The 25,588-nt window shown below is 37.9% G+C and overlaps 1 protein-coding gene across 17 annotated transcripts in view, besides 1 other annotated feature; it reads left to right on the top strand.

Moving 5' to 3' along the window:
- The window catches only part of ZBTB20 (zinc finger and BTB domain containing 20), an 832,789-nt gene that overhangs the window by 699,251 nt on the left and 107,950 nt on the right, over window positions 1-25,588 (top strand). The window lies entirely within an intron of this gene.
- Window positions 19,410-19,459: an enhancer, noted in NCBI's record as "active region_20276". NCBI's record gives its function as "activates an Ori minimal core promoter by ATAC-STARR-seq in GM12878 lymphoblastoid cells {active_cell/tissue: GM12878}" and the evidence as "EXISTENCE:reporter gene assay evidence [ECO:0000049][PMID:35858748]".

The following is a 25,588-nucleotide window of genomic DNA, read 5'->3' as shown; positions in this document are numbered from 1 at the left end:
TAGCTTTCTCTTCAACTGTCTGAGACATTTCCTTCAACAACCAATGACTTTCTACTTCCAAGGGATGGTTCATATAGCAAAACATCCATTTTTATTTTATATTGCAACATGGAAAGCTTTGAAATTGGAGGGGCAAAGGAAAGGGGCTCAGGGTATCCGAGAAATATCCCAAATGGCATTAGGCTCAAAGCTGTTTTTCATGGTTGCTCAGGTCTATAACTTTCCTGTTCCCTCCAGAGCCTCTAAGTGGTTGAAAGTAGTGAATGGGATAACTATAGGGTACACACTATGATCTAACTGATTCAGTAGATGGAGCTCTTCTCCTTAAGTCTGTATTTAAATTAACGTCCCACTCTAGTTTGTGGGGCTCTCTCTTTTAAGGTGTGTCATACTACACACATAAAATTGAGGCCTGCATAGCTAGAGAAGAGATTTCCTGGCGCTTTTCAAGAGACATGAAGCATTTGTTCTGAAATGCAAACAGTGCAGGGGAGCACTAGGGTGGGGTGGGAAGGGAAATGGAGTTTACCTATCTAAATTTCTCTCTGTGTTTGTTGATATTCTTAAGTGTGAAATTAAATCCTAGCAGTTATTGTGGAATACACTTATTCATTAGCTAATTTGTAAATGTAGAAAAATATATTGCACATGCAGGATTTTGGTGATATTCATTGCAAATCTTCCAAGCTATCTGAACTGTGCAGATCTCCTTTCATTTAATTCTACAAAAGCATCTTAATACTGTAATGCAGTTGTTTCATCTAATTAGTCTAGAGTACCTGAATAAAATGTTACAAGTTCTGAATTGTGACAGCACAGTGGAGGGCAAAGTAGTGTGTTAGTAAGGTGCCTTTGTGGAAGCCAAAATATTTTCAGCAATAACTGAAAATAGATTTCCAGTATCTGTTTTAATGGGGGAAGAGCTACTTGTTTATTTCTTTTTAAATTAATTGAAATGAATAATTGCCACAGAATTTTTGTCAGTGTTACATTGTTTTCAGTACCAATAGAATAAGTTTGATCATGTCTCTTCCTGGTACCAAGTGGAGAAATATATGTACACTGTATGTAATAAATTATCTTCCTTAGTGGAATGTCTTCTCACAGATTGGAGATATTACTGAATATCTCTTGTTAAATCTTGATAAGATCATTTGGCCAAAGTAGAACTGGTCTTGGCTTTAGTACCAAAAGAAATAGCATTTTTAAAAGACTTGGATTTCCTTTGCATACCACGTGTCTGAGTTTGATACAGTCCAGGAAAATAGAGAGGATGAGATGAAATTATTCCTAAGCAGCCGCCGTAGGCCAAACACTGAAACAGTGCCAACCTGGACCAATCAGGCCGGCTTCTCAGAAGATACATGCTTTTGTCAAACACTTACATGAAGAAAGAGAGAGAGGAAGTTCGTGAAACTGTATTTGTATGAATATTCTTCACTGATTTCAATAAAGTCCAGGGTAATAAATTCGATGATTTTTATTCTTTTGTAAAGCAGAAAATCTGAGTTTTTCTGGGCAGCTAAGGTTCTCTAAATGTTGTACTGTGACATCTTTTAAACAAAACTATCCTTTCGAATTTAAGCAGTGCAAAACTTCTCACAAAGAGCAAAGAGTAAAATTGATGGAAACTCAGAATCAATTCCAAACCCATTTCTGGCATGATGAGAATAACATTTGTGCTGTGTTTAAAGTAGTTTAAAACAAGAAAATGATAAAATGATCAATATACTTAAAGCCAAAAATAACCAGGAGAGAACAATCTGTAATCCATTCTCAGTCTGAAACCCCACACTACTTATTTATTGAACATGAAAATAAACAACTATATATTTTATAAGGTGGCCCTGCAAACCTTATAACATATAAACAGTAATGATGAGATGCCAGGCTTTCAACCCTTTATTTAAGCTATGTGTTTAGAATTTAGTCAGGCAAAAACTCCTGGACTTAAACTATTATACATTTATTTGTTTCTACATACCATGACCATAAAAAGAACAAACGTTAAGGAATATATAGATTGTCGCAGTGAACTACATTGCCACCTTACAGTTTATGTACTCTGTTTGTTTTAAAAAGAAAAAAAGGTTTTAACTACAGCAAAAGAATATTTTAAGTTAGAAAGTCAGTTAATTGATCAATATAGAACAGATTTAATATTTCTTTAAAAATACCTTGACTCCTGACTAATTTATTAAATTCAACACATACATAAATGTAAACCATATATATTTTATACTTATTGCTTTAATGGATTGCTTTAAAAGACTAACTTGACACTAATAAATTTTGAACCTGTGGATTCAAGGTCAGTGAATGCTGCTGTCCAAGTTTACAAAAATCTCTCTAGACTTAAGATTTTGCTCTAATAAATAATTTTCTTACCAATTTTTCAGAGGCACTTAACTGGATATATATTTATCGATCAGATAAAATAAAATTGTCCATCTAGATTTTTAAAATTCCAGCTGAAGAACTTAAAATAACAACAAATTGCATAGGCACACAATTTCATTGCACTGAGGTGCTGTAGGAATGATGATAATTCTAATGAGCACTGTGACGAATGCAACTACAATGAAACATGTTTGATTACATCAGTAAGAGTGAACTCAGTGGGCAAGGTCAGAAGGGTGAGACATAGAAGTCATGACTGAGTGGGGGCTAATGATTAAAGTTATGGGAGCTATTTAAAGCCCTATAGCTGGGTGCAAAATTAACAGATGTGGAAAATAAGAGTCAATCAATTCTAAATATGGACAGTACTTTTTCCTATAGGTTATAATTAACTGTAGAATTTACTATTGCAAGGATTTATAACAACATCATAAGCTTTGGTTGTCCAGTGTGATAGTAGATGTAAAGAGCTGTTATGCACATCTGCTTAAAGATTTATGTAAGTGTAATTGTTATAGCAACTTGTTATGCTATTGTTTGAAGTTTAAAAGCTCTGCTTTAAGCGTTGACAAAGCAAATGTCAGCATCAGAGCATCATAATCACTGTATCTTGGAGCTTGAAGGGGCTTTAGATATCTCAATATGGGTGAGTGGGTTAACCAACTCTTCAGAATGGAATATTGGAATATCTGGTCGAGGACCATGTAGAATTTGAAAATACATATATATTACAATGTTTTATATTTGGAAAACAAAATTTACGAGAAAAACTTAACAAAATAGAGAAAGTAAAGCTCTACAAAATTATCTGGACTAATGGTACTATATATTGCATTCTGTGAACCAGGAATTTTAAATAGAGAAGAATAGAAGGATCTACATTAAAACAAGGTTTTATTTTTATCAAAAAAAATTTGATGAGGGGGTTGTCCAACAGATTAAGAAATGATATTCAGGCTTAAACTACTCATTTTGCCAATAAGAAAACTTAAACACAGAGAAGAGATAAAATGCTTTCAAGATGAGCAAGGCAAAACTGGGACCAGAACTCAAGTTTTCTAACTCACGTTTTCTTGATGTACTCCTATGCCAAAAGGCTGACCACTAAAACTAATTTATAAAAATAAAAAGTAAGTGATATCCCACTTTGAAGAAGTGGAAGAAACCAGACCCTCAGGGTTTCTATTTCTATGCCAGTAACCTCACCTCGGATGTGGCAGGGACAAATATGTGTGATGAGGATAAGGCATTCTGAGGAATGAAGGAAAATGCACCCAAATGCATTGTACTCCCTAGAGACTCTGGAGTTAACACTGCTGCCCAGACCTCCATAGCCTTGTATCTCACATTTTTTCTCCCTCTATCGCCACCAAAAAATAAATAACAAGAAAAGTTTTGAGAAATTGTAGTCAGAAGATCTTTTGGAAAGAAGTATTTCTTTGTAGAAATATTCCTGTACAGATTGGTATATTTTACTATCTTATCAAAGTATGAGTTCTAATGAGACATTGATGATTCAACAGGTTTATAACATTACAAACTGGAACAATCCTTGTTTCCTAAGCACACACCACATTTTCCCATCCATGTTCCTTTTCTCCTAGTATTCCCAAATAGAAACACATTCTGCCTCCTTTATTTCTACAACACTTTGTATCTTTTAATGAGCCTTGCCATATTTCATTTTATATGCAAGCTATTTATGTATTTATTTGTAATGTAAAGAACAGGTCTACATAATTTTAGGCAATGTACTTAATTTTACTGGGCCTCACGTTCCACGTCTGTAAAGAGAAAAACGATATCTGCCTTCCTAGGATACTATAAGAATTCCATGAAATGTAGTATATAAAGTGCTTAGCAGAATGACTAGCTCAAGGTTATCACTCATCATTGTTGTTATTGTTATTGCTACTATTACTTATTAATATTCCCCTGCCTCTGATTCTTTCCCATTTATATACTTCTCGAGGTCATAGATTGACCTAATTCATTGTCTTCTCATGCAATGAACACAATGATTTTTGTGTAACAGGAACCTAATAAAAATATATTGAATCTTTTTATAAAAGTCCATATTGGACCTATTATTTCCCTACAAAGATCCTTAAATCCTGTCCTGGAAGTTTAAAATAGTGGTGGTTATGGCCAGTGCCTGACCCACATACATTGTAAAATGCAGTGGTGTTGCTTGCTGTGGACTGTCAGAGCCACATGATTTTTCAGGTTCCCCACAGACCCCCAACAGCTTAAGACTGCTCTTTGCAGCATCCCCAGAAGTGTCAGCTTATATTTCTGGTTCATGTGATTAATGAGCTTGTTACACCTCTGTCTGTAGCCTAAACTAGAAACTTTCACTTTGGAGAGCAGGTCAAGATATCGAATTTAATTTTGGTTGCATCTGTTATAAGCCAATTGTGTATTCATTACATTTATAGATTCCCTCTTCAGCCATATATTTTCATGGCTGTTGAGAGCACCTGAATCTGTGTTGAATGTCCTTAGATTTTACTTTGGAGACCTGAAAATGAGACAGTGAGATCTTTTTGATAGCTAGCTGTCATCTTTGGCATTTTCTTCCCTTTAGTGTGTAATCTGGTCTAAATTTGAAGAAGAGGGCAAGTATAGCATTTTTATCTAGCTTGAATATGGCATGGTAATTCTGTATTAATGAGGTCAATGGTAAATGCAGTTCAGCTACACATTTCTGTTTTTCCAGACATACAAACACATTCTGTGGAAATAGAAAATGTCTAAAAAATGGAAATGATGAAATAACTTGAGACATGTAAGGGTAGAGATATAACATTAAATGTATGGGTTTAGCAAGCAGAGCAACATACAAAGTGGACTCTGAGTATGTATGGATCTTGCCAGTCCTTCAAGGTTTCAGTGGATAGCAAGAAAACGAAAAAGAGGTAGATCACATGAACATGGCAGAAGAGAGACTGACAGCAGGGTGTGCTCAAGTCAGAAGGAATGTTACATTTTAATCAGCCAGAAGTTCCATTTATTTGAGAATAAGCTGGTATTTGTGAGGGGAACAAGGTCACATTTAGTAGAACTGATAATTCAATAAAGGATTTTGACTTTGCCAGAGTAATGGTGTTGGCATCAAGAGAAGAAAGTTTTGCAGATTTCTGTGTGTGCACTTGCTGTTACTGGTGTTCCTGGTGGGTGGCTGAATCATCCTGATGGCATTCAACAGGAACCAGCTGCTGAGAATATTAAAATGCAAGCATTTATTCCTCTAGAGAGACAGTAGCATCTGCAAAGTTTTCCTATCTTGATAGTACAGATAATCCCAGGGAGCATTCTCTAGTAGTTTTCACTCTCTATTCATTTATACATTTTCTTTTTATCATTAGCATTAATATCTCAAGTTCTAAATGAAGAGAAGAGTGCCTGAGTCCTGAGTCCACAACAGGCTGTAGAGATGGATAGTTAACACTTGGCCAAGAACTTGGTATTGCCTCTTGGGCTTTACCTTGAATTGTTATCTAAAAGGGGGAAACTGACATTTCCCTCCCTTGGCCTGTCTTCAAAGCAAAGAGTCATCCATACTCCTAGTCTTCAGCGAGCTCCATCAGTGTAAATCCTGCCCCCAACAACCCCCACCAAACACGAGCTTTGGAGCTTTTCACTTTACTTATAAAATTTGTAAATTTGTTGCTTTCCTTGTGTGTTTGTATTTTATTTGTTTGTTTGGTTTATTTTGTTTTGTTGGTGGTTTTTTTTGTTTTGGTTTTGGTTTGGATTTTTTGAGCTACCATCAACAGTTAGGGGAAAGGGAGTTACAAAAAGGAGGTTTGGACTCTGTAATCTTCCAGGTCTTTCCATCTCTAATATTTATGAATAATGTATTGAACTGATGGAAAAAATGTTGAATATGTTCATTATGAATTATATTCACCGGTGTGTTGCCTAGAATATAAAAGAGCAAAGCAGTTGCCGTGTAAGTGGTTGCTTACAATAAATGTAGTGGTACAACAGAGCTCTGTATCCCTTCTCATTCCACCGCGCGTCGTCCCCAAACACACGCTTTACATGTCTGAGTGGCAACTGCAGATGAGGTGCTTGATGGGATGACAGCCAGCCAAGGTTCTGACGGGTACAGGGACATTCGTAGTGCAGTGGGTCTTAAACAGAAGCAGCCTTGATGAAGGTTTTGATAGTGCAGTTTCCTTCAGGAGAAATCACCGAAGCCAGTTTCACATAGCAAACATTACTCAAGTGCTTTCATGCTGCAGGGGTTATAACTCCTATTAGGAGAATTGAAACTTATAATTTTGCCCCTGATTTTTAAAAAACAGCATGAATAACTAATTTGTCAGCAATGTTACATTCTAAATGAGCCGGAGTGGCAGAAAATTCAGAACTATTTATTATATTTAGCTTCAAAATTCATTATATACTTGTCTCTGTTGGTTTTTCTTCATAATTATGTTTTGTTTAGAATTTATCAAAATAAAATTGTATTTTCTAAGCATTTACCAGATGACATTGAGAAACAGTAACCAGAAGCATGATAAGAGACAAGAAATCTTTTTAGTCACACAAATAATCGACAAAAGAGATAATAAAGAGTTAAAATAATAGCAAAATAGTTTTTCACTGGCCAAAAAACAGTGAGGCCCATTATTTATCAAATATGTCACCGTAACTGATATGCAAATATGTGCCAAAATAGAGAAAGACCATCTAAGGTCAGGGACTCAGAGAGGACAGCCCTAATGTAGAGAATAGTTCCAAGTTAAAGCAGTTCAACAGGAAGGTGCACAGAAAGCTCTGGCTTTTGTCTGATATCCCAGGAGAATAGCAGAGTGTTGATGAGCAGGTTCTGCCTCCAAAAAGCTCTTCCTTCCCATGGTATCACTTCAGAGCCTTTGGACTAGCTCTTGCGAGAGAAGGGTCCAAGACAGTACTCGTACCAGTATCCACTTTATAGTGACATTAATTCAAATAAACTGTCCCAGCGTTATCTATCCTTTTAAAACCTTTTAGAAATAAGCTTTTTTCTCCCCTATGCTCTCTTTAGAAGCTGAAACCCATCAAAGCCCATGAAGAGCAAGTGTAAATTTAGAGCAACCACATTTATCAATAGTTTATAATAATCTCAGAGGAGAAGCAGAGAGAAGAAGAAAGTAAGAGGGAATGAGAGAAATAGTGAAATTTTTTTCAGGAAAATTACATTACCCATTATTTAGATCAAGTCACTCAAAAACAATAAAGGATACCCAATTCCATAGTGGTATCATGTAAGAGCAGATGTGGGAGGATTTTTTTTTCCCCCAGCTCCACCCTTCCTTACAGGACAAATCGCTTAACCTATCTGTGTAATAGTGTATTTGTCAAATAAATAGAAAACCATCTATCCTCATCTACTTCACAGCAGTATTGCTAAGGCTGATTGTGCACACATATATTAATGTATATATCGTAGCTATCTATTTACAGCAGGGGAGAATGGTTTTAAAATAAATGAATCAGAGTTTTATGTGTGCATCCATTGTGAAGGTCAGTCACTTTTTAAAAAAAAAAAAGTAAGACCTTCTCTGCTGATTACCATTTGTTAAAACACTTGAAAATGATGGCTGAGCCTACATCACCTCTGTGAAATGGAAGACTTTTGAAATCTAAGCATGATTATAGAGATTCAAACACATTTCCATCTACTTATGGACCCTAATGGCCTTATGCAGAGCAGCAGTACAAACCTATTAAGCCAAATAAAAGATTAGCTTTGCCAATAGATATCTTTTAAAAAATCCTAAATCAAGGATGTAGCAATTGGTCTAGTGTCAAAGTATAATTCTGGCTGTAGGAGTGAACTGGTTCTCTATATTAGATATTTTTCTTTAATGGGACAAAGATGTATAGAAAGGACGGAATTAAGTTTCAACCTGTACAGACATCCTAGGCATCTGCCAAGCTACTGGTCTATCCACTCAAGAAGTAGGCTAAGTATATATAAAGTCCCTAAGGTCATTGGAAAAGAGGCCACATTCATTTCACTTTGGACTGCTGTTATTCTTTTGATGTTGGTCTGAGCTCTTTAAATCTCTACTTTCTTCATACATACATACATTTTTTAGACATGATGTTACCCTCCAATAGCTTTTCACCAGGCCCATTCCAAGCATCCAGGAAAGAGAAACTTAGCTTCCATGGAGAGTGAAGTCATCGCTTCAACTTAGCATAATAAGAAAGGGAGAAAGCATACTGTTGGTGAAATGAGGGAGTTTCTGCTAGGCTATGACCAGATTCTTCTGTTTCTGCTATTTTTTCTCTAACTGAAAAGAGTTATTGTGGTAATTCACCTGCACTTCTGAACCTGTGTGCATACACCCAAGACCTACTCAAGGTAAAGCCAGAAAGAGATTAAGAGCAGACTTTCATCCAGGGGACTCAGCTTCTTTTTAGTGACTTCTGCTTGTTTTGTTGTTGTTTTTAAATAAATTTGTGTTTTTAGAAAATATGTTTGAATTCCCAGACATTGATATCCTGGGCATCCTTAGGTTGTGACAGAAACACGGATTAGTGACTGTGACAAATGTCGCAGAAGCCAGTGCAGTTGCAATCTATCAAATATGTTGGCAGACCCCAGGATTTTCTGATCCTTGTTGCAGAATTCAGTTGTGTCCTTACCGTAGGAAGACAGGGTTAACTGAGAGTTTTGAGAGTTGTGGTATGTGCTTTTCCATTTGGGTCTGGGTAGCTCTGGGACTGGAATACCTTGGTAAAAACAATAACTAAAACTAGGGCCAGCTTCATGGGTATACAACCTGTGCAGTTGCACAAGGTCCCATGTTTGGACGGGCCCTATGCCTGGCTTGATGTGCTTCTGTTGCTGTCCTGAAATTCTTAATAATTTTTTAATAAGGAGCCCTACTTTTTTTATTTTTCCTTGAGCCCCACAAATTATAGAGCTGGTCTTGCCTAGAATTTATCTTTCCCTAGCATACCAATTGAAAGTATCAGTCATTTTTTCTCTTACTGAAAATGATACCTTTTTCAATTCCTCAAAAGTTAATTCCTCCATTAAACTCTTTGAAGATTTCTGTCCACATAATGTGGTTCAGAAGAACTCATCTCTCCTTCTTTCCTCCAAGCACCTTGAGATGATTATGATCAAGGTGATCTTGTTTTGTAATCAGAAACTCTATAGCTGTCTCAGCCAAGTTTTGTTTTGTTTTTTTTTGGTTTTTTTTGTTTTTTTTTGGCAAGGAGTGAATACTAGGGAGAAATAGTTGTATCATAGTAGTGAGGGCTTTGGCCTTTATTGGATCATTAAAATAGGCTTCAGTCATTAAATTGATGTTTTAAAATGAGCACCTAACATTAAGATTATCTTAGCCTAGGTACCTCCCAACCATCATGTGATCAAACACATCCGTGTATGCTAAAAACAAGCTGATCTCTCAGCTCTGGCCCTGGGCTTCTGCCTCTCTCAGACCCCCACCAATGCCACTGCTAGCTATGTGTTCTGTGGCCTTCCCCTCATCTTCCCTTCTGCTTTCAGCTCAGATCAATCCTTTTATTCTTCTTACTCAAAACACAACTGGCATTAGCAGGAGGCAGTTCCTCGCTTCAGTCTACATGTAGCATCTAAGGAGACTACTTCTTGCTGAGTTTTGTACAAACACACTAATGCCTGCCACCACATTGATGAGTGTGAATTACAGAATTGTAAGGCCTGGAGCAGACCCCAGAGATGGATGGGCCTGTCCACACTGACAGTTTGTTAGGACCAAGCCTTAATCCAGAAAATGTAGGCCTCCTGACTCCTAGTCAGGTATGCTTTGGATAACTCAAGGGGTGTTCGACATTCCTGAAAGATAAATTCCACATGACTGGCTCCTAAACCTGTTTTCAAGCACCCATGAGTGAAAGGAGGAGGAGAAGAAAAAGAAATATATACATATAAATAAATATTTTGTAGGAGCTGAGAAAAGAGTGCTGTGTAACAAGGAGCCTGACTGGCCACCTTGAGCTCTAGTTAGCTGCTTCAACCCTATAAAATACTTCCTATTACTAATAATATCTTCAGGGCTGTTGGAAGGATCTAGAGAGATGCTTACCTAACACAAAGCCTAACTCACTTGGAAGCTGAGGAAAGGTTAATTTCTTCTACCTCTTCCTCCTCCTTCTTTGCCCTTACTTTCACACATTTTTTCCTCCCTGCTCTAGGAAAGGAAGGAAAACAGAAGGGATCTGATGGAGAGATAGTCTTTGTGAGTTTAAATTATATGAGATTAAGCTACTCTCACCTCAACCAAGTAGGCTGTAGTTTGCTGACCGCCTGTTGAGCAACAGCACAACCATGGAGCAACAGAAGAGCCAAAGGCATTTTTGATAAACCATGACATCTCTCAAGGGATTTTTTTAGTGGTTCACCAGCTCCAGACAAGGCCCTGGGCAAAAACTGCAATAGAGACTGGGTTCTTTTCAGTCCTTGTCACCCACTTCATCTTCTCCTCTGCCAGCAGAGCCTAGGGTCCTTGTGTTAGTTAATCTGATTGCTTCCTTCACCTTCCCCTGTTCCAGAATTATCCCTATCCCTCCCTCCAGCTCCAGTTCAAAACTGCTTTACACTGAGATAACTCTCTTGGAGTTGAAGTGGTTATAGCATGAAGGCATGAATGGCTTGACCCCTCCGTGGTATGTTTGCATCTCAGAAGAAGTGCTGGAAAACCTTTTTTAGCAAGGGGACTTTTCTTCTTGCAGGCTCACAATCAGCTATGTTCCCAATGTGACTATACCCACCCCACCCCTTTCTTTTTTGTTTTTTAAGGGTTGAAGTCTGGCTCAATCACCCAGGCTGGAGTATAGTGCCACAATCATGGCTCACTGCAGCCTCAAACTTCTGTCTTTGCTGTAATCACACATGTGATGTGAACTCAGAAAAGCAAACTTTGTTCCTGGAGGAAAGAGAGGGAGGGAATATAGGTTTACATAGTGAATAAAACCCAGTATGATAGCAAAGGGTCTCTCTTACGAAAATATAACACAATATTACTTTTTTTGTATGAAAATAAGTTTCTATCTTGGATAGCCAAGGCCTTAACAGGTAACATTATAAGAGTACTATAAACAAATTTAAAACCCAAATGTTTTGTGATAAGTCAGGGCTTCTACCTCCTGTGAACTCTGGGCATTTTGCAAATTTGAATAATCAGTCATCTCGAGTCTCCTCTTTTTACAGATGAGAGTATTGAGGCTCAGATGGGACACAGGTTTTCTTCTGGGTCACCAAACTCAACAGCAGAGCTGAGTTTGGGGCCCTTGGGCCTCTAGGGAGATCTAGCTTTTCTGTCTGATACGGGAACTCCTAAGAGCACCTCCATCCACCCCAGCCAGCTTTCCTTTCTTCTGGTCATTTCTCTTTAACAGTTGTTGCTCCTGCACTCATCAAAAAAAAATGTCAGCACAAGAATCAAAGGGAGGCTATGGAGCATTAGAGAAATATTAGCAACTATTGAAAAGACATTTTGACCTATTTCTGTAGTTATCAATTTAATAGTATTTGTTGCCAGGAAATGCACCGTTGGCGGGTGGGAAGGTGGATTGCACCAGCAGCCTGTTCTCAGAGGCCCTCCAGTTACAGGAGGTGGTAATTCCAGTTAATAAAAGGGTGAACTTCAAACACATTTTAACCAAATCAAATTGTAGCGGGAAATATCATATTACTGATGTTCAAGCTGACTCACAGCTGGTAACATTAGTCAGTATATAGGCCCCAAATTCTGACTTTTCAGCATTTTCAGATGAGTTTCTGGCAGTGAGAGAGTTCCCCAGGCACATTGTTATGTAGGAATAGGAGATTTTTAGCTAACATAGGAGCTAGCATAAATGAAGAATTTTTTTATTCTCGTTAGACTTTTTATAAGATTGTCAGATATTCAAATAATATGTAACCAAGCCAAACTTCAGGTTGATAGGAAATCTAGAGCCAGGAGTTTTAATTTTTTTGTTGTTTTGTTTTTTTCTGTGACATGTTGGCAAATGATAAAAGCAATTCACTCTGCTAACCAGAGATGCTGGGCAGAATTCCCCCAACACTGATTTCATGCCATGAAAAGCACATGAAGTCTGGCCTGGCAAGGCATGGTGAGGAGCACAGGCTTTGTGTCCTACTGCTCCAATTTGAATTCCAGCTTAGTCCCTACTAGCTGTGTGACCAAAGGATATTTACGTAACTTCTCTGAACCTTAGGATTCTTATACAAAAAAAATGGGCAAAATATCAATCATTCGTAGTTGGTATGAAGATCAAATGAGATAACATATGTAAAGAAATCCATGCATAAAGAAAAACAGTGCCAAACGTGTACCAGGTGTTCAGAAGTGATCACTGTTATCTTCCTCCCTTTTGCTGCTATGGTGTGCAAGTTTTTTTTTTTAAAGAGTTAATTATTTTCCAATAAAATGCACAGCTTTTCATATGATAATAAAAGGAAATGCTGCTGGATACTCCACAGATTAATCTGGTGAGTCTTGTTTGAGTGAATGGCTGTTTGCCACCTCATTTTAGTCCCAGTTAAGCTTAGACTTCCCTTTATTAACCTCTCTCCGGATCATACATACAATAGGATACATGGACTACATGATAAATCAAATGGCCCCCTGATAACACAGTCCCAAGTTGTGTGAGCATTGGTGAGACAATGGATCATATGAATAGCTAGAACCGCTCATCTCTCTTCCACATGTGTCCTACTACACCTCACTTTGAATCAGGAAAGATGCCAGACACCTTTCTATGGGATTGCCTCCCACCTGGATTTTTTCCTAAACTTTTTCCATGCGCCTGAATCTCGGTTTTCACAGAGATTAATTCTGATTTGGTTCGCCTACACTTTTGATGCTCTAAACCTTTTTATTGTTGGCAGATAGTCTCAAATACTGTGTTTGAGAATGGAAAAAGAAAACGCTGCTCAAATGTAAGCACCATTGAATCAAAGAAACCGTATTTTTTCAATTGCATTATTTGAGGATCCAGACAACCTTGAATCCTTTACAAAAGCACATCAGTAAGGCTATCCTCTCTCTTAGAAAGATACACACACACACACACACAAACACACACACACACACCCCAATTGCAGAAGGCTACTCTTCATGAGGTAAAGGACTAGAGTGTCCAAGAGGAATACAAAATGAAAAAGATGTTTCTGTAGGAAGAACCCAGACCTAGAAGCCAGGACATTCAAATTCTATTTCCCACTACCATGGGAAATACGATCTTATATGGATCCTAGCATACCTGCCTCTCCCGAACTCCATCGTCACATCTAGAGAACATGGATTCCAACTCATACTCCTTAGGGGCTATCAGGAAATGTATTTTTTGCTGTTTTGAAAGACATTTTGATACCCCTACCGAGAGCATTTTGCACAGGCCAAGTATTTCCCTCATTTGGAAGACTGAAGCCCTGAATTTTACTTCCCATCACTCTGGAATGGGTAAAAAACTGAACTTTTTACACTAGTGTGGGAAGAAAATGATGTTCTTATAATGCCAACTTCTAGCAGGGTGTTAATAATCATCTAAAATATCTAGAACTAACACAGACCCATTGACCTGGTCTATCATTCAATTGACTTCCACTTTTATCCATGCATGTTTTTGATAAACATTAATTATGGGGTGACCCAGTGTGAGAGGAGCTGTGGACACAGTGAGCACATCCCTCCCCTCACAGCCTAGCTAACCCTCCAATCCCCTAATGCACATCAATTGTAAGTTGACTTAAAGTTGTACAGATCCTTCCTTTCTGTGCATTGAGTCATTTCAGTATGTCTATGGAGGGGTGGTTCTATAGCCAGGAGGACTTGCTTCTTCCGAACTGCTAAAGCACTTATTTGTATGTCTCCTGTGGCACTGATTACATACTGTCTTATACTAGAGCATGTTTATATGTCTCATTCCTCCTGCCACTGCACAGTAAGCTTAATAAATACAGAGACTGTACTTACACACAGTTGTATCCCCCTCAACACCTAGAATGTGCCATCAGAAATAAAAGGTATAGTAGTAAATGTTGTGATTTGAATGAGTGAAATTAACAATGGCATGTGAGTGTTTGGAAAGAAATTACCTTTTCTGAATCCATAAATTTCTACTCAGAAGCAGAGAACATCACTCAGTTACATCAGAAAAGCTTAAGGATGTTTTTTCTTTCCAGTTTATTACTTATAGGTTTCATTCTTCCCCACTCTTGACATTTGCACATAGTAGGTTTTTAATAAATTATTATTGATGTATTTATTAAAAGTATAGAATAAAGTAGAGGTGTCCCACTCCTGTCTTCTAAAATAGTAATTTTGATTTTCATCTACTTCTTTATCTTCAGACCTTGTCTATTCCTACAGCACAGATATCCTGGGATTTCATTCCAAGTGGTTCCTGACTTGAGCTTAGACGTGGTCATGACTTTTAACTTGGCCTCTTTATCAGGCTTCTTACAGGGCAGAAGGAAAATCTTTTTTTTCTGTTTCCTCGTCTCCCTCATAGGACTGTTGTATAGTTGAAAAGGACCTATATCTACGTAAAACTATTTTAATTCCTAGAGTAACATAATAACAGATTCATAATGTCAGATTGAAGAAGCTTTGGCATCCCAGCACACCAAATGGTTTTGTACACCCTGTTTCAAGCTTATCCATGGACCTGAGGGGTGAGGAGTTTATTACTCTAAGCTTTTAGGTTAGGTTCGTATGATCTGTACCAGCTACATTAACCTTGACCTCAGTCCAAATGAGGTAGCTGATTTAATGTGTCCTCTCCAGTCACACAAAAGCTTCACCATTACTCTCCGACCTGATTAGATGCTAAATTTCATCCACACAAAATGATCTGGAACCAGTCGTCTTGGTGTTAGGTCACAGGAAGTGATACCAAAGAATTCCAAAATAAATACATTATTCCAGTTTTCCTTTGGTTCTTCCTCAAAAAGTCTGTCTCACAGCAGGCTCAGAGAGCCAGTCCCTCCTCAGCTAGACATTCTGTTGAGTCATGTTTACTGTCCCCCTCAGAAAGGTTCCAAAAGCAAATGCAAGAGGTTGCCGAATGCAGGGACATGTGGCGTGCATGCTACTGAAGTGAGAGGCATAGCACACACCTGCTTTTTGGCTGTGGCAGGCCATCTTGACTGTGCCATGCCACAAGTTAGCATTTTGGATGAGCAATTGCCATTCTGTTGTTTTCTTCTCAACACATGGTGTTCAAAAACAGTTAAAAGAAAACTGTACCCATTTGCTCATCCCAGAAATCTAAAATTTCAAAGAAGCATGCCAAATTAATTTTCACATAATATTTTCCAAGCTTTTTCTTTGCACTGAGAAATGGTATTTCACTTTTTGAACTCTTGGTGTCCTGGCCTGAGGTAAATGGGTACAGTTTCTCTTTAAATGGCATTAAACATATCAAAGCAGGATTATATCTGTCACTGTCTTTTTTTTTTTTTCTAATGGAATCAAAATCCTTCAGGGAGTGTCCCAAATCCACATTAATGTCTTTGAGTGCTAATGTTTCCACTGGGACTTTTACATTAGCAAAATATAAGTGTGTGGTTTTCCCCCCTCTCTCTGCTGTCTGTATAAGAAAGAGACAACTGCACATCCGTTATTCTCCATGGCCTTCAGCTAACCCATGTTAAGGTGGTAAAAGATGACTAGAGATTTTTGGTGCTAATGTTTCCTTTTCTACCTTTTCACTCCTTTGTGCCACTTGACCGAAAAGCTACTGTGAATGCTGTTTCCAACATGGACAAATCTTTGGAATCCCAGCCATGAATCTTTGAAATCCCAGCATTTGGTCTGTTAAACAGACCAAACTGCAGTAGCTGTCAATGCTGTTTTTACCTTTGGTTCTGATTGTGGAAAAATTAGACAAATACCCAGAACTTTAGGATCTCACTGTAGATATTTTTGTCATTAATATTGGGGTATGAGTCATGTGTCCTTTTTATTGTTGGTGGACGCACTTCCTGTCTACCTTAATCCCTCTTTTTTTGTTCTTTAGCAAAGCAGTTCAAATGGTATTTTGTCAACTCTTGATTATCAAGTGTCAATGAAAGACTACAATGTCATAAATAGAAAATAATTGTAAATAATAAATAACTTTAACATAATGAATCATTAGCTGTCGTAGTACATTTAATCTTAGAATGCACCTTTTTCTTGCATTTGAACATGCTCTGGAAAATTACATTATTTCTTGAATAATCGTTTTTATACGTAATGTAGAAGGGGCTAGAAAGCTCTGCAATATCCGTCTCTGACCCCCTTCCAGAGTTTTTCTTCTTTTAGCACCATCCTGCCTACTGAGGGTTTTAGTTCTGGAGCTGATAGAGACTCTTCATCCATGGAGAGCTGGGAGGTGCCTTGCTCTTGAGGCTCACCCTTTTCATCGTTTCACTTTCTGGAGCACTCTGGAAGACTACACTACTTCCTTAGACCCTCTTCCTATCCTTCCTCCTTCTTCTTCTGTACTTTTTCCTGCTTTTTCTGTTTTTCGTTTTCTTTTCCTATCCCGCGTGAAACTAGAACGTGAACTGGGGTGTATGTTTGTGTGGATGGAGGGGCACAGGGAGGAGGGGACTCTCCAAATGCCCCAGCTTAGCACGAGGAGAAACTCCATGTTTTCATTTAAACAACCTTTCCCCACATCTAGGCCTTCATATATGAGAGAAAAATTCACTTGTTTTCCTTTCCACACTTTACAGAAAACAAGGTAAGTAGAGGCAGTGAGAATGCCAACCCTGGAGTAAAAATGAAGCAGACTATGTGCTCACCTTTAAATATTTTTAAGGATAAAACCCTATCTACTGGCAGTTAACAGGGAATTCACTGTGCCAGGTTTTTGTAGGAGCAGTGCATGATGTTCCCTGGCACTGAAAGAGTTTATAGGGTATTTTTTATGTTTTTAGCATTAATTTTTGCATGATAACTTTGCAACATCAGGTAAATTGTCTTCTAAAATTAAAAAAATACATGAGTGATTTGAATTTTCTACATCAATATTCTATGGTGGATCCAAATGTTAGTTTGCTCATGCTCATATATTTAAACATCAAGGTGGCAGAAAATGTGTGTTTATATTCGAATTAATTGGGCACATAACTTAGCATCATATAGTAGATATCCAATAAAAAGACTGCCAGTGGCATTCATTGTTGTTTCATTTTTGGGTTTCTCCCTTAGCAGGCTTATAGGCTTTGTAGATGGACAAACTTGGATCCAAATATGAGTGCCATAAATTACTTTCTAGCTTTGTATGTCTGCTCAAAACACAATCTTGCTGTGCCTCAGTTTCTTTACCAGAAGAAATGGAAACAATCTCTGCTCTGGGAGATGTTTATGAGAATTAAATGAGCTAATTTGTGTAAAGAACCTAGCATAGTACTGAAATGTAGTAGGCACTCACATGTTATCTTTCTCCTTTCTTCTTTTTAAGAGAAATGCTTGGGTAATATGATCACTTCTTTACTACTAGTGATTTTTCTCCATAACCAGATTACTTAAACTAATTGTATTCATTAGGTTTTAGCTACTCAATTTTTGTTCATCTCAAAGGAAATCATTGTGCTTTGCCATATACTAAAATATAACTGTAAGGGAAATGACTTGGAGATTAAGTACAGTCATCCCTTGATATCCAATCAGCAGGGCACTGGTTCCAGGACACCCCATCCCACCCCAGCCCACCACACAGATACCGAAATCAACAAATGCTCAAGTCCCTAATATAAAATGGGATAGTATTTGCATATAACCCATGCACATCCTTCCGTGTACTTTAAATCATCTCTAAATTACTTATAATACCTAATGCAATGTAAGGTCTATGTAAATAGCTGTTATACTGCACTGTTTCTTTGTTTGTGTTATTTTTCATTGTGGTATCATTATTTTTTATTGGAGGTTTTTTTTTTCCAAATATTTTCCATTTGCGGATATAGAACCCATGGATACGGAGGGCCAGAGGTCTGACTACAAATGTGTTAGATCTGAAAGAAGCATGACTTAGCAACGTTCTCTGCCTTATTCTTAGTTTCATCCCCATCCTCAACCTCAATACCCTCTCAGAGACTGGGCAGAAGGAGAGCAGCAATGCCTAGAGAGCTCTGTTTCTGAGCTACCGAGTTAGGGCATTGAATTTAGGATGGATTCTAAAGGGAAAAAAACATCCAAATGCACCGAATAGCTGAAATCCAATCTTTAGATGTGGGGTACCAGAAACATTCCAGATTATTTCCAGTGTCTAACTAAAATATAATGCAGAGTTTATGCCTTCTCTCAAGATTCAAAATTAATGATTATGATTTGTATTAATCCAATAGGAATTAGTTTGACTACTTGATTATTTAAGAGGTTGTATTGTAGATATAAAACAACTATACTGTTAACTCTTTTTGAAACAGCACAAACTATGTCTAATCGTACTTTTTTACTTTTATAATACTTGCACACAGAGTTCAGTAACTGTTTGTTCACTGAACAAATGAATCTAGTCCGTGGCTTCTTGACCATGGTAGTGAAAATGCTACAACACCGGTCCTCTTTTTACTACCCAGCAATATATTTTATACAGACTTATCTATATCTATAGATCTCTCCCCCTGTATCTTTTTTTGTATATATATGTATAATTGTTTAAATAAAAGGCCTTGAAGGACCCAATTCCACTGGATTCCTCATAGCCCCAAATCTATCTGTAAATTCATTACTGCTAGAATTGCCAACTACAGAATTAACTTCTGTGACCATTGGCAAGTCCTCAGTTTCCTCATTTACAAAATGACTAAAAGATCACTAAGGTAAAAAACACTTCCCACTCCAGAATTTGATTCTTTCTCTCTAGTGAGAAGTCATATCTTTTTGAGAGGTATCCTATTGTTTGAACTTAGCACAAGTTTTTTCCTTGATGCAAGAATCACAAATGAAATTATTTGTATTCTACTAGGGGCTGGGGACTTGTACTTGCTTTTAAAACTGTTTCAGGACAACCATTGAGATAGGTGTCTTTTCATTTCTTTACTTACTTAGACACTGGGACTCAACATGGTGGGGGCAGCCAGACCTCCACAGGAGCCTGCCAGGTTTCTGTCATTCCCCCCACCTACCAAAAAAAGAAAAAGACTAAAATCTACCCAGTTCCCCACTTCTGGGCCCCTTCAGGGCACTTCCTCTTTGGTGCAAATGAGGCCTGTCCCTCCCAGTCTAGCTCCATAGATGCCTTTCTGGTGTGCTTGGTATTAATGACATAGTCTGCTTTCGTCAGCCTTACCATTTCCGGAGTGAGGTATTTCTTGGTAGTTTGCATTTTTTTCTTTTAATACCTGCGTATTTAATGTTGTGTCTGATAGAGTCTGATTGTCCCCATTGTGAACGTGGTTTTTAAGTCATTAATATGTTGATTTGGTTCGTAAAAGTGAGAGTAAACTGCCACTATGGTACAGTACTTTGTTGGGGGGTATGGGGGATTCTCTCTATTTTCTCTTCTTTTTACAAGAAGAAAAAGGCCCCAAATTGTGCCCTTTGGATTATCTTGTTCTCTTTTTACATTTGAATTTCAAAATCCCCTTTAAATGAACAAATCTCAAGGTTTCTATTACGACAGATGCCTTTGGGCATGCCCCCCAGTCCCCGTGACTTTATGGCTGTGGGCACTTCTTCCTTTCAGCTCTTTGTGAATATTCTGTGTCCCTGGCCCTCTCTCAGAGTCACATTGACATTCAAACAATAACCTCTCCCTTAGTTGGTGCTCCTTGATTGCCAAAACGAGTGCTCTGCCTCTACTGCTTTACCTCTGTTAACAATCATTCTCCACGTTTCTGAAGAAAAAGAAAGTCTTAACATTTAATTTCTTATTACACGATACATTTTGATTAACACCCAAGTATTAGATGTTGGTGAGTGCTGAGGGGAAGACCCAGACAGCAGACACCAAATCTTATTTTTGGAGACTATTTACAGTATAAATGTGTAGTACTTGGGGGTGGGCAAGTCTTGCACATTTGAATAAAAGAGGAACAGAGTTGTTGTCTCATCTGTGTCAGGACCTTCTCCTCTTCGGTCTGCATTGCAGTCCTGCTTTGGCTTAATTAATCCATTAAGCTCTATCTTAACCCTAGTCAGTAATGATCGAGGGGCTCACTGGAGCCATCTAGAATGGGAGAAATTAGATGGATAATGATTTTTGTGCTGATGATGTGTTCTGTCTTTTTATATAGTTGATCCCGTGAGGGACATATTTCTTTGGTGTATTCCTGCTGATGTTCTCAAGACAGATATATTACAGAGAAATAAATCAGACTATGAGACTTTGCTAGTGTCTACTTCTTGGTGTGTAAATTTAACGTTTTAAAATCAAAGCTGTTTTTAAAAATATAGTTTTATGAATATAATATTAAACAATCAAGAGGGTGAGAGAAATTTGGGAAACTCTCATTTTGGTATTATTTCTTGTTACACTCAGATGCTGCTATGGAATATTTATGTTCATAGTCTTCTGATTCCTTCCTCCTCTGTGAGTAAACTGTTTAAGATGGTTCCTCCTCAATTCAATTCAACAAGTGTGTGTTTAGTGATACCTATCATGTGCATAGCGGTTGACAGATCTCAAAAAGCATGAGACTTAAATGGCTTTATATATATTAAAGTAACAAAATGGGACTTTTTTCATTTTTGTTTTTTATACCAATTTGAAATCAAGACTTAAAAGTTGCAAGGCAATAAATAAACTGTATTAAATACCATATTTTGCTGCCATCAAAATAATTTATAAACAACTACAATACACAATTAAAAATATAATTTTTTTCTGAAATGTGTGGAAAGGTGGGTGGAGTGGTTCTTACCTTGTTTTAGAGGGTTAACAGTTGGCTGGTAATCATCTTGGAAATCTCTCTGGCATAAGTGAGGTTTAAGTTATCATCTGAATGAAGGAAAGATGTTCTTCAGTGCATGAGGGATTATTCCGTAGATGCAGGCTTATGTGGAAAAAGTTCAGAGATGGAGAGGGTGTATTCTCAGCGGAAGGAAGCCAGAAGACAAAAGCGACTTGCTGTGTGGATTAAGGTGGGCCTTAGTGGCACCGGATGCTGACAGGTTAGACAAGCAGACCTACAGGGAGGGGGCTTTCAGTGCTGGGAGTCTATAATTCACAATTGATCTGAAGTAGGGTAGAAAGCCACTGGAGGACTAAAGAGGGAACTGTGACAGTCAAACCATTGAGAATATGTTTGGAGTGAGGAGGCAATTTTTTTTTTTTTTTTTTTTTTTTTTTTTTTTTTGAGATGGAGTCTTGCTCTGTCACCCAGGCAGGAGTGCAGTGGCGCGATCTCGGCTCACTACAAGCTCCGCCTCCAGGTTCACGCCATTCTCCTGCCTCAGCCTCCCAAGTAGCTGGGACTACAGGCGCCCGCCACCACGCCCAGCTAATTTTGTTTTTGTATTTTTAATAGAGATGGGGTTTCACCGTGTTAGCCAGGATGGTCTCAATCTCCTGACCTCATGATCCGCCCACCTCGGCCTCCCAAAGTGCTGGGATTACAGGCGTGAGCCACCGCACCCGGCTGAGGAGGCAATTTTCATATCCTAGGTACAATGTGATTAGGAGCTGGCCAAGAATATTAGTTTAAAAAGGTATATTTGAGTTAACATCATCATAAGAAAATTTCTAAATTTGATAAGTGGCTCTATATGAGAAGCAATATATTAAAATGTGAACGTTTAGCAGAAGATTGAGGCATTGGATATATTAGACTGTGGTTACACAGAATTTGTATAGCAGAATGATTTAAAAGGAAAGAGAGAATGCTTTTTATTATTTGGGTTTTGAGGGGCTAGCAGCCATCTAAGTAGAGATATTCTGAAGAGAAAGTGTTATCTAAGTTAACTAACTTAGTTAACCCTAACTAAAAGAGGTAGATTATGAGAAAAGATGGATGAGTGCATCAGCCCTTCAGATGCATGAGTATAAGAAGAAAAAACTATGGCCTTAAGATAGTTCTTTGAGGGACAGCATATTTAAGAGTTACAAAAGGTAATATTGAGGAAATAAATGAAGGGAGAAGATTGAGCCAAGATTATAAATTATAGAAGCCAAAGACATAGAAAGAAATCATTTTGAGCGTTTTAGGGTAAAAAAGCAAAAAAGGGCTAGAAGGAACCCTGCAGGATCGTCTCAGTCAGTATTCAAATTTTGTGTATTGGGAAAAGGAGACCTAGAAGACAGATGTGGTCGAAGTAAGCAGAGACAACGTGTAGAAGAAATAGGACTTCAAGTGCCCCTTCACCTCTGCTATGCTGCCTCAGTGGGGGACTTGTCCAGTCATCTCTTGCAAATGTCATGATTTAAGCAAAGAACAGCTAAATTTGTAGAGGGCCAGGCTGACACAAACTGGCTTTTGTAAATCCATTGCCAAGAGTAAGGGAGAAGGCGATATTAAAATCTCTATCACTGCTTCAGCTGTAAACAGGGTGGTCAGCTGAAGAATTAATGGTTTTTCAAATTTCAGAGCGACACCTTGTTGCCTACTAAGTATCAGAATCACGTGCATAAGAGGGCATTCAGATACACAGCTACACAATTATGTAATGGTTTTCAACTTGGTCCTTAATATGGAGGGAAAATTCTAGGGATGTCTGCCAAATTAAAATAATTAAAATTGAACCTAGACTTAATTGATTTAAAAAAAGAAAGAAAGAAAGAAACTGAAGAATCCTTCACTCTGTCCTAAACTGAGAGGCCGGTTTGCTTTACACCTTGACCAGCTTTCTTCAGAATGACAGTAAAAGGACTTGGTCAATGCCATGGTACAAAAGATGTGCCATGCCTTGCTTACTAGATATTTTTAAATTGCTTCTTTTCTTTAGGAAGACCTCCTAAGTTTCACCTAAGTAAAGACCGTAAACTTGAGCCCATGCAAACTACAACTGTAAGATCGTGCAGGGGATGGAGGTTCTGTGCAATTGTGACACGTTAAACGGGGCTCCCCTGCATAATGTGATCCCTGTCTTTAGGAATAGCGCTTTGCTCCCATGTTAATACATTCTGGAAATTGCTCAAGAGGCAGCTTTGGCATTAGAATAGCAACTTTCAAAGCAGTGAACGTCAGCACTTCTATTTCTCCTTCTTTTTGGCGTGCATTACATGAAGCTGGAAGGACTAATTGGCTAAATGAAGGGACTCAGTGTCGCAGAGTTGAAATCCTGGCATGTAAATGGAGAGGTGGGGAGAGACTTTGCATGCATATCTATATGGCCTCCCTTTGTGAATTATCATAATAGAAATGGTTCTGCCCCTTCTCTAGTTTCCCTGCGAGATGAGTTGGGGTGTGAAGTGCATGGCACAGAAATTCACCATGCTTTGTATCTATGATTACTTGTGTCTGTGTGCATCTTTTCCACTCCTAAATTGCATGTTTACCCAAAGTTGCTGAATAATACATTGTTTCAAAAGATGTGTCCCTGAATTAAGGTTGTTATGTGACAATTATAATATGACCGTGTACAGCTGCTAACAACTGTAAAGAAAAATAAAATCAGTAAGTGGCATTTTCAAAAGCAAACAAGGAAATCGCTTATTTGTTTTATAGGTGTTAGATTTACTTCCTTGACCTCTGCCAAGCATTGATAAAGACTGGTCAATAATGGGATCAAACAGTTCACATGAGGTTGGTTCCCTATGACCGTAGTCAACTTAGCATGTGGGATGGCTCAGTCATTGAATCATACACATACATTTTATGAAAGAGTATTTCAAGATAAGCTCTACAGATCATTTTTAACTTTTATGAGATGCCAAAGCCTAGAACTCTTCTGGTTCACCTGTCCTGCCCTCTAGTAGCATGTTAACTAAATTGTCACAGATAAATAGGGATCAAATGTATTTCATAAAACTTACACTGGAACATCAGAGTATTTCATATGAGGATTTAACATCTCCTGAAGTATGTAATAATTTTATAACTCAACTCAATCCCTCATACTTCATAAACCCCCTTTTTAAATGTTTAATCTGAGTTATAGGTAAGGAACATCTATTAACACATCATCTTACTAATGACCATTATCAAATTATCTCTTTAATATTTTGGGCAAACAAGGAAGGAAGGTTCTTTGGCCTTTGCTCTGAACCCTTGCTAAGCTTTCCCCATTTCCATTAAGTATGGAACTTTGAATTCCAAGGTATAAAACACAGGGTGAATGTAAGTCATCCACTTCTTTGTTAACTTTTGTTAACTTCTTTGTTAACTTTTATAAGCATTTTATTTGTAAAGCACATTTTATGCTTAGTTAAGTCTATGAGAGCTGAGCCTGACACACCAGAGTGATGTTCTGTAGTATAAACTCCTTACAGACTAATAATTGTTGATCAGTGAGAAAGTCATTTGAGCTCACTAGGTACCATTGTACAAAATTTTGTGGTTAAAGAGTGTTCCATGGAAGCTTGACAGTGAAAGAGGGAGTTAGTGGCTCAACTGAAAGCTCAGTGAAGTTTAGACATTGGTTAAATCAAATTTGAGAATGCCATATTTGATTTAAAGATTAAATATTAAAATGTTGCCCTTTGATTATGGGAGAAAAGGGCTTGCCTGGGGAAGAACATGGGTAGAGCTAGGCCCTTACTGCCAAATGATGGAAAATACCCTTTCCATGTTGCCTTCTACCCAGGAGGGGTGAAGTAGACTTTGACTACTTTGCCAATCATTGGTCATGCTGCTGTAAAGGTAAAGGTGACTGACCCAAAATATATATAACACCATTTTTTTCAGTAGCTTATGATATAATTTCATCTCATCCATCAATAAATAAGAACACACAGGTGTCATTCTCCCCAAATGAGAAATGGAAAAATTGAGGCTCTGTAAGGTTCAGTACCTTGCTTAGTGTTACCTAAATAATCAGCGGTTACATCAAAACCAGAACTAAGTTTGATGTCTAGAAGCTACAGAATGTAATTTTCAGGACCAAGTGGAACAAGTTATGTTCAGTTTGATTTTAATGCATTTCAGAATCTGGACAACATCTTACAAAATGTCTGATTATATCCTATTTTTTCTGTAGATTTCTAGAAAGGGAATTACAATTGGGGGTGCAGGGTAAATCTATTTTCTGACAGTGGTATGCCTTTGCTCTTACAATCTTATCAGCTGAATTGAGGGAAAATTCATATT

Source organism: Homo sapiens, chromosome 3 (assembly GCF_000001405.40).
Source record: "Homo sapiens chromosome 3, GRCh38.p14 Primary Assembly".
Lineage (NCBI taxonomy): Eukaryota > Metazoa > Chordata > Mammalia > Primates > Hominidae > Homo > Homo sapiens.
The sequence above is the reverse complement of the archived record's forward strand: the minus strand, read 5'-3'. Positions and strand labels throughout refer to the sequence as shown.